The sequence below is a fragment of the Homo sapiens genome, chromosome X (genome assembly GCF_000001405.40).
Source record: "Homo sapiens chromosome X, GRCh38.p14 Primary Assembly".
Classification (NCBI taxonomy): Eukaryota; Metazoa; Chordata; class Mammalia; order Primates; family Hominidae; genus Homo; species Homo sapiens.
The window spans coordinates 124,196,847-124,206,445 of record NC_000023.11 but is presented as its reverse complement, the minus strand read 5'-3'; the positions used below and the strand labels follow the sequence as shown (position 1 = coordinate 124,206,445).

Sequence of the window (9,599 nt, the reverse complement as noted above, 5' to 3'; positions counted from 1 at the left end):
TCTCCTAAACAAACAAACAAAAAAGACAACAAGCATTGGTGTGGATTAGGAGTAATTAAAAGCACCTTTATACACTGTTGGTGGGAATGCAAAATGATGCAGATGCTATGGAAAACAGAATGAAGGTTCCTCATAAAACTAAAAATAGAACTACCATATGATCCAGCAATCCCGCTTATGGGTATTTATCTAAAAGAATTGAAATCAGAATCTCAAAGAGATATTAGCACTCCTGTGTTCATTGCAGCACTATTCATAATAGCCAAGATGTAGAAACAACCTAAATGACCATCAACAGATAAATAGATAAAGAAAATGTAGTATATATATACACTGGAATACTATTCAGCCTTTAAAAAAGAAATTCTACAATATGTGACAACATGATTAGACCTTGAGGACATTATACTGCATAAAATAAGCCAGTCACAAAAGGACAAATAACAAATAAAGCATGATTCAATTTTTATGATGTATGTAAAATTGTCAAATTCACAGAATCAACAAGTGAAATGGCTCATTGAACATAGTGGCAGCCTTCGAGATTCGTGTGTATTCTTTGCAAGCCAAGCCAAACCTACATGCAAGTAACTATGTCTAAGGGACCTGTTGCTATGTCTAAGGGATCTAAGGGATCAAGTTGGTATTGATCTTGGCACCACCTACTCTTGTGTGGATGTCGTTTAGCACAGAATATTGGAGATACTTGCCAATGATCAGGGAAATCAAACCATCCCAAGCTCTGTTGCCTTTACTGATACCAAATGACTAATTGGTGATCCCACAAAGAACCAAGTTGCAATGAACCCCATCAACATGATTTTTGATGCCAAACATCTGATTGGATGCAGATATGATGATGCTGTTGTCCAGTCTGATATGAAGCATTGGTCGTTCTTGCTGGTGAATGATGCAGATAGTCCCAAAGTCCAAGTAGAATACAAGTAAGAGACAAAAAGTTTCCATCCAGAGGAGGTGTCATTTATGGTCTGACAATGATTAAAGAAATTGCAGAAGCCTACCCTGAGAAGACTGTTACCAATGCTGTGGTCACAATGCCAACTTACATTAATGATTCTCAACATCTGACTACCGAGGATGTTGGAACCATTGCTAGTCTCAATGTACTTAGAATTATCAAGGCCAGGTGTGGTGGCTCACCCTTGTAATCCCAGCCCTCTGGGAGGCTGAGGCGGGTGGATCACCTAAAGTCAGGAGTGCGAGACCAGCCTGGCCAACATAGCGAAACCACGTCTCTACTAAAAATACAAAAATTAGCCAGGCTTGGTGGTGTGTGCCTGTAATCCCAGCTACTCGGGAGGCTCAGGCACCAGAATCACTTGAACCCAGGAGGCAAAGGTTGCAGCAAGCCAAGATCCCACCACTGCATGCCAGCCTGGGCAACAGAGCAAGACTCCATCTAAAAAAAAAAAAAGAATTATCAATGAGCCAACTATTGCTGCTATTGCTTATGGCTTAGGCTGCTATTGCTTATGGCTTAGACAAAAAGGTTGAAGCAGAAAGAAATGTGCTCATCTTTGACCTAAGAGGTGGCACTTCTGATCTGTCAATCCTCACTATTGAGGATGGAATCTTTGAGGTCAAATATACAGCTTCTCCACTTAGGTGGAGAAGACTTCAACAAGCAAATGGTCAACCATTTTATTACTGAGTTCAAGCACAACCATAAGAAGGACAATGATGAGGATAAACAGAAGACTCTTGACAAGTGTAATGAAATTAGCAACTGGCTCAATAAGAATGGTACTACAGAGAAGGAAGAATTTGAACATCAGCAGAAAGAGCTGGAGGAAGTCTGCAACCCCGTCGTTACCAAGCTGTACCAGAGTGCAGGAGGCGTTTGAAGGAATGCCTGGGAGCTTCCTTGGTGACAGAACTCCTCCCTCTAGTGTTGCTTCCTCAGTGCCCTCTATTGAAGAGGTTGATTAACCTAACCCATGTATAGATATAACATTGTTCCACGCAGTTAAAACTTTGAAGGACCCAAATTTGCAGCAAATTCTATGGCAGTTTTAAAGTTCAGCTGCTATAGTAAATTACTGGATATTCTCAATACTTGAATATGGAACATGTGCACAGAGGAAGGAAACAGCATTGAACTTTATAAGCACTGTATTGTAAGTGCAAAATGCAATGTCTTGAATACAACTGTATTTAAAATTGGCACCAAAAACAGAGTGAAACGGTGGTTGCCAGGGGCTGGGGGAAGGCAGAACTAGGGAGTTACTAATCAACAGGCATAAAATTTCAGCGAAGCAAGATGAATAATAAGCTCTAGAGATCTGCTGTACAACATTGTACCCATAGTCAACAATAATGTATTGTACATTTAAAAATGTGTCAAACAGGTAGATCATGTTGTGTTCTTACCACAATAAAATAAAAAATGTAACTTAAAAAAAATCCTTGCTCTTATATAGCTCCAGCCCACCCTGAAGCTGTTGTCGCAAATTACATCTTTATACAATATGTACTCACCAACATAGATTATAATTTATACTTTAATCAATTGTCTTTTAAATCATATGGGAAAAAAGAAGAGTTATAAACAAAAGACACATTAATACTGACTTTTATTTTTGCCCATGTAGTTATATTTAACGGTGTTGTTTTTTTTTCATGCAGTTACAGAGTTACTATATATGGTAATTACATTTCAGCCTGAAGGATGCCCTTTGGCATTTCTTGTAGGGAAGTTCTAACAACAGTGAACTCCTTCAGTTTTTGTTTAACTGGGAATGTCTCAGTTTCTCCCTTTTTGAAAGGTTGTTTTGCTGAATATAGAATTGATTGGCAGGGTTTTATTTTCTTTCTACACTTTAAATACATCATCCCACAGTCTTCTGACCTCCATTGTTTCAGATGAGAGATTAGCTGTTAATCTTTATTGAGGATCTTTTGTGCATAATGAGTTGTTTCTCTTTGCTGCTTTCAATATTCTGTCTTTGGCTTTGTACAATTTGATTATGATATGTGTTGGTGTGGATGTCCTTGAGTTTATCCTTCTTGGAGTTCATTGAGCTCTATAGAGGCAAAAAGTAATGTCTTTCATCAAATTTTCAAAGTTTTGGCCATTACGTCTTTAAACATTCTTTCTTTGCCTTTCTCTTATTCTCTTCTGGAGTTCACATTATGCTTATGCTGGTATTCTTGATGGTATCCCACAAGCCCCTTAGTTCTGTTCATTTTTCTTCACTTTTGTTTTTCTTTCTGGTCCTTGGACTGGATTATCCCAATGGACAAATCTTGAAGTTTGCTGTTTCATCGTTCTGCCTGCTCAAGTCTGTGGCTGAACCCCTCTTATGAATTTTTTTGTTTCAGTTATTGTACTTTTCAACTGCAGAGTTTCTATTAGATTTCTTTTTATAATTTTCATTGGATATTCTCCGTTTGGTGAGACATCATTCTCCTGATCTCTTCTGGTTCTTCACTCACGGTATCCTTAGATCTCTAAGCATATTTAAAATAGTTAATTAAAAGGCTTTTTGAGTAAATCTAATGTAGGGGCCTCCGTGTGAACAATTTCTATTAATTTCTTTTTTCCTGCGTACAGGCACACTTTCTTGTTTCATTGCATGCCTCTTTTAAAAAACAAAAAAAAAAGTGGACATTTTGAATATTATAATGTGGCAACTCTAAAAATCAAATCCCCCTCCTCATGGTTTGTTGTTGTTTGTTTAATGACTTTTATAAACTAATTTTGTAAATTCTGTATTCTTTGTCATGTGTGGCCACTGGATTCCTTCTTCCATACACTTAGTGGTCAGCCAGTGATTCAACAAATAATTCTTAACATGCCTGGAACCAAAAAAGCACACACACACAATATTTCAGTCTTTACTGAGAAGTTCTGTTTATATTGGGGTACATCTTCAACACTCAGTCAGGCAGTTTAAAACTCTGCCTGAGCCTATACTACCTTCTTGCACAGAGCCTGGAGGTGAATCAGAGGTGACAGCTTATGGCCTTCTCAGTTCTTTCCTGAGCATGTGCACAGCCCTGGACATACATATGGCCATTCAGATTCCCAAGAATATGTAGGAGTTTTCAAAGCCCTTATTCCCTAAAGCATCTCACTTTCCAGCCTCTCCTCCCAAGCTTTTCGGTTTTCTATTGTTTGCCTCAAGTGTTATCCCTCCCCATGTGGGAGCACCTAAAACATTTGCCTTTAAATATTTTTGGCAAACACTCCCAGAGTAGCCATCTCAACTCTGGGAGATTTTCAAGTTAGATAAAATAAAAGCAAGTCCTTCGAGTCTATCCTCAAGGGAGTCACCAGTCAGGTCAAAACATTACACCAGAATTCTTTGAGAATAAGCTCTGTTCTACTCCCTCCAATGCTGGGTACTTGTTCCAGGAGTGAAGGCTATTGTCTTCAAAGCCACTGCCAAGCCTGGGTTTGGGAGATAGTTTAAGTTTAAATGCCACAAAGTGCTCTTACTGAGATCCAAATATGTTTTCCTGATTAAGAATTCCCCTGGTTACTGTAAGATTTTTATTAGTTTCCAGAGTTCTGAAAAAGTTGATTCTGACAGTTTTTGCCAGTTTATTTATTGCTTTTATGAAGCAATTAACTTTTGAAGTTCCTTATTCTGACTTTTTTTTTATCTTTTGAGACAGAGTCTCACTCTGTCACCCAAGCTGGAGTTCAGTGGAACAATTTCAGCTCACTGCAACCTCCACCTCCTGGGTTCAAGTATTTCTCATGCCTCAGCCTCCCCAGTAGCTGGGATTACAGGAGTGCACCACCATGCCCAGCTAATTTTTTTTTCGTAGAGACAGGGATTAACCATGTTGGTCAGGCTAGTCTTGAACTCCTGACCTCAAATGATCCGCCTGACTCAGCCCCCCAAACTGCCGGGATTACAGGTATGAGCCACCGTGCCCAACCTCCTTATTCTGACATTTTACTGATGTACTAGTCCAATCTTTTGGCTTCCCTGAGCCATATTGGAAGAAAAAGAATTGTCTTGGGCCACACATAAAATACATTAACACTAATGATAGCTGATGAGCTAAAAAAAAAAAAAAAAATCACAAAAAAAATCACAATGTTTTAAGAAAGTTTATGAATTTGTGTTGGGCCACATTCAAAGATGTTCTGAGCTGCATGTGGCCTGCAGGCCATGGATTGGACAAGCTTGTACTAGGCAATTCTTAAGATGAAAAAAGATGACCAATTGTCATAAATAGCTGTTCAACCTACTAGTTACTGGTGGAGATGCTGATTAAAATGAAATTATTCTTGGTGCATCAGATAAACAAAAATTGAAAAGATTGAGAATATCTAATATCAACAATGTGTGAGGAAATAGGCACTCATATGCTACTGGTGGTAGATAAAATGAGATCTTTGAGTGTGCAGTTGGCAGAGTCTCTCAAACTTTTCACGGTTCATTCCTTTTGACTTTTTCACTTCAGGGAATTTAACTTATGAACACATGCATGCATAATATGTATTTACAAGGATGTTCTTTGCAAGATTGTAATAATGAAAAATCAGACAAACAGGTGCTCAATAGGGAGGTGTTAAGTAAATTATGGCACCATAAATCCCTGCAATATACATCCTGTAGTAACATTCCAACCTTACATAATTCACAATTGGCTTCTTCCTCCACTCAAATCTCAGATGTGGAGGGCTAATGTTCTTATCTTATAGTGTTGGGGATTGAGGGAGTTTGGGGCTTGGAGGGAAGGGCAAAATCAGACAAAAACACTGCAGGTAGCCACATACAGGGAAGTGGGGGAATTGGGGATGAACCACCTTCTCCAGTAGTCTTCTGGCTCAGTCTCCTCAGATTTAGCCCATGAAAACAAGTCAGAAGTCAAGATATGTAGTAAGATCCCATTTACCCATGCGTGCGTACTATATTCAAGTATATGTATTTATGTATATATGTAAATGTATTTTAAAAGACCTGAAAGAAATACACAAATTAATAACCATAGCAACCTCTAAAAAGGGAAATGGGAATGGGGAAGGAATGACAGAATCTCACATTTTACTCTGTGTTATTAAAACTTCGAAATAGGAATGTTTCTCAAAAAAATCATCTAATTAAAAAACTTATTTAAGAAAAAGGTGTTTTGTTTGTTCGCTTGTTTTCTAAATAGGGCCTCCCTCTCTTGGCCAGACTGGAGTGCAGTAGTGCAGTCATAGCTCACCGTAACCTTGACCTCCTGGGCTCAAGCGATCCTCCCTCCTCAGTCTCCCAATCTGTTGGGACTGCAGGCATACCACCACACCTGGCTAATTTTTTATTTTTTGTAGAGACGGTGCCTCCCTATATTGCCCAGGTTGGTCTCAAACTCTTGGCCTCAAGTGATCCTCCTGCCTTGGCTTCCCAAATTGCTGGGATTACAGGTGTGAGCCACAACACTGGACCAAGAAAGGGTTTTAAACAACATTAAAGACAATTGGGATAGGGAATCAATGGTAGTCCCATCACCCTAGCAACAACAGCAACAACAATAGGCATAGTTAGACAATGCCAGAGCCCAGAGTGAATTTGTGAATCACAGCTTTAAGAGATGAGACCTGCCCAAGTTGATGTAGTGAGTTAGTGACAGAGTGTACAACCCAGGTTTCCTTAATGCCAAAAGAAAACAGGATTCTAAAACCAGAGGGAAAACTTGACAATGGGAATCAATGAACCACTAAATCTGAAACATCTGCAGGAGGTCAGTTGCAGCTTATCCAGTCCTCTATCTCAGTGAAAAGTGAAGAAGAGAAGGTGAAAATCTTGTTATGAAACCATGGAATGTATGGAGTTGGAGGCATGCATGAAGAAGCTGTGGTAGCTTTTGTCTTCTCTGAGACCTCCAGTGCTGGTATGTGTCACTTAGAATTCCCCAAAAAGCTATTTGACAATTAGAAAAGGAAATTAAGCACTTTATCAGTATCTGTGGAGTCGTTGACTTAAAAAGAGCCGCATGCCACGTTTAGCACTTAGCAGCAGTAACAGCAGCAACAAACTGCTCTCTCTCTCTGCAGTATACTCATTACTAATTGTTTTACTTGGAGAAGCTAGGAGAAGGGTAGCAGAATCCAACTCTAGCTCATATGAGGAAAAATGGAACTTACTGGAATGGTATGACTAGTGGTGCACTGGTAGATGTTTAGCAAACAGCTCTTCACAACAACAAAAAATCTGATTTCTAATGTTTGCTGATTTCCATCATATAAATACTCCCACCACGGCCAACTGCAAGCTCCCAGTGTAACATCATCTAGCTCACAAAATTCCTGAAAAGTTAGTGGTAGGTCCTCAGGATCTGGTAGGGAGAAGCCCGCAGGATGGAAGGGAGGCAGAAGAAGATCAACTAGGCAGTACCAGAGGGCCTAAAAAGCAAGAACTACTCAACAGTATTGTCAGGTCACTGCCACATTAGCTTCTCTGCACAAACCTCTATACTGCCCCTACCACGTCCCATAGATTTTTGTGCCCTTTTAGGGGAAAGTGACCCATTCATCTCATTATCCACAAATGGTGTAACCCAAAAGTAGTGGCTCATGCCATATAGTTGCATCTCAAAATATCCTTAGTAAAAGGCCCCAGTTTATATTTGCAAGCCCAACTTGCAGGGTCCTAAACTGAAGAAAACAAGTTTATAACGAGAGATTGGGGCAAAACCTGCATGTAAGTCTTCTTTATTTCTTTGTTTTTTGTGTGTGTGTTTTTTTTTAGAAACATTTTATTGTAGAAAATTCACACACACACACACACACACACACAGAAAGAGAGAGAGAGACAGAGAGAGAATAGTATAATGAATCCTCGTTCTCAACAATTATCAACTTGTGGCCAATCTTATTCTATCTACATTTTCACTTTTTTTAAGGAAGAAAAACATCACAAGAAAGATCAGAAGAAAGATCAATAACAGTCCTAACAGTTAGGACTGTTATTTGGAATTGGAATAACCTGGTGATATGGTTTGGCTGTGTCCCCACCCAAATCTCATCTTGAATTGTAGCTCCCATAATTCCCACATATTGTGGGAGGGACCTGGTGGGAGACAATTGAATCATGGGGGTGGTTTCCCCCATACTGTTCTTGTGGTAGTAAATAAGTCTCAAGAGATCTGATTGTTTTATAAGAGGAAACCCCTTTTGCGTGGTTCTCATTCTCTCTTGCCTGCTGCCATGTAAGATGCGCCTTTCACCTTCTGCCATGATTGTGAGGCCTCCCCCCAGGCACGTGGAACTGTGAGTCCATTAAACCTCTTTTTCTTTATAAATTACACAGTCTCGGATATGTCTTTATCAGCAGCATGAGAACAGACTAATACACCTTGTAAAATAATAATGGCTAAAATTTTAAGAGCAACTATGGGTTACGTGCTTTACATAAAGTATCTTGTCAGATCTTCACAACAGCCCTGCTAGGTTGGCATTATTATCTCTGTTTTCAGATGGGAAAATTGAGGCTGGAAAAATTAACACTTGCCCAAGTCAAAAAGCATTGGCAGAGTCAGATTCAAACTTAGAACATAAACAATGTTGTACCCAAAATGTTAACAGTTGTTGCCTCAGGACAGTGGAATTATGATTTTTTTATTTGCTTTTAATAATATTCCTTCTTATGTGTATCAAAACTCATACTGAACAATGAGTTCTGAGTGGCAAAAGATTATTTATTTTTTGCACCTGTCAATAAGCCTTGTCCACAAGTTACATGGGTTTTTATTATCTTTTTTTTTTTGCTCATTTTTTTTTATTTCTCTATAATTGGCATTGCTGGGCAGCATATCCATCCAGATATGCTGGTGTGGGCTATGATGTTCTTCACAGGCCCAAGTGGTTTGCTGCTACTGCACCCGCCCTGAAACAGCTTCAAGAAAACCCCGTTAAACAAACATCTAGACTCCTTTGTGGGGTTAATGAGACTCTGGGTAGAAGTGAGCCCAGCAGTCATCATGAAGCTATTGCTGCCATGTTCCTAAATGTGATCTGAATTCACTAGACCACATTCAGATAAGCATACCATCCAAGCCAAAGAAGTGATCAGGCCTCTCTACTGCACCAGTCTTTATTCACTATTGTACCCAATGCTAATCTGACTACATCCAGTAGACTCATGAGAATGGCGATTAGTGCAGAAACCATGATAATGGGTCAATTACTAAACACCTACTCTGGATAGCAAAATGGCTGTTGTTTCACTTCCGCCTTTCAAATCTCACACAAGAATCCCTCTTGTGGCCCACATTAAGAGGAAACACACAAGGAAGACAATTCCAGGAAATGTAGTTCAACCTACCCAAGTTAACTCCACAGGGAAGACAGAAATAGAGGCTGGAACCTGAAAAGTTAGCAGTAGGTCCTCAGGATCTGGTAGGGAGAAGCCCACAGGATGGGTAGAACTAGGCCTAATAGAAAGAAATTACTGGGACACCTTTCAAACTACTTGAGTTGTCTAATAATCATATTGATGGCATCATAGGCAGGAAGCTCCTCATCTCTGGAAGTGTTCAAGCAGAAGTTTATGGTATAAGAACTATGGAGGGTCTTATACCAGCTAGGAACCATACTTTGTTTTTAGAAAGCTACTTTAGTAACACCAGATAAAGGT

The 9,599-nt window shown here is 39.4% G+C and overlaps 2 pseudogenes; one reads left to right on the top strand and one right to left on the bottom strand.

Moving 5' to 3' along the window:
• On the top strand, positions 570-1,714 carry HSPA8P20 (heat shock protein family A (Hsp70) member 8 pseudogene 20; annotated as a pseudogene).
• Positions 8,597-8,703, bottom strand: LOC124900500 (uncharacterized; annotated as a pseudogene).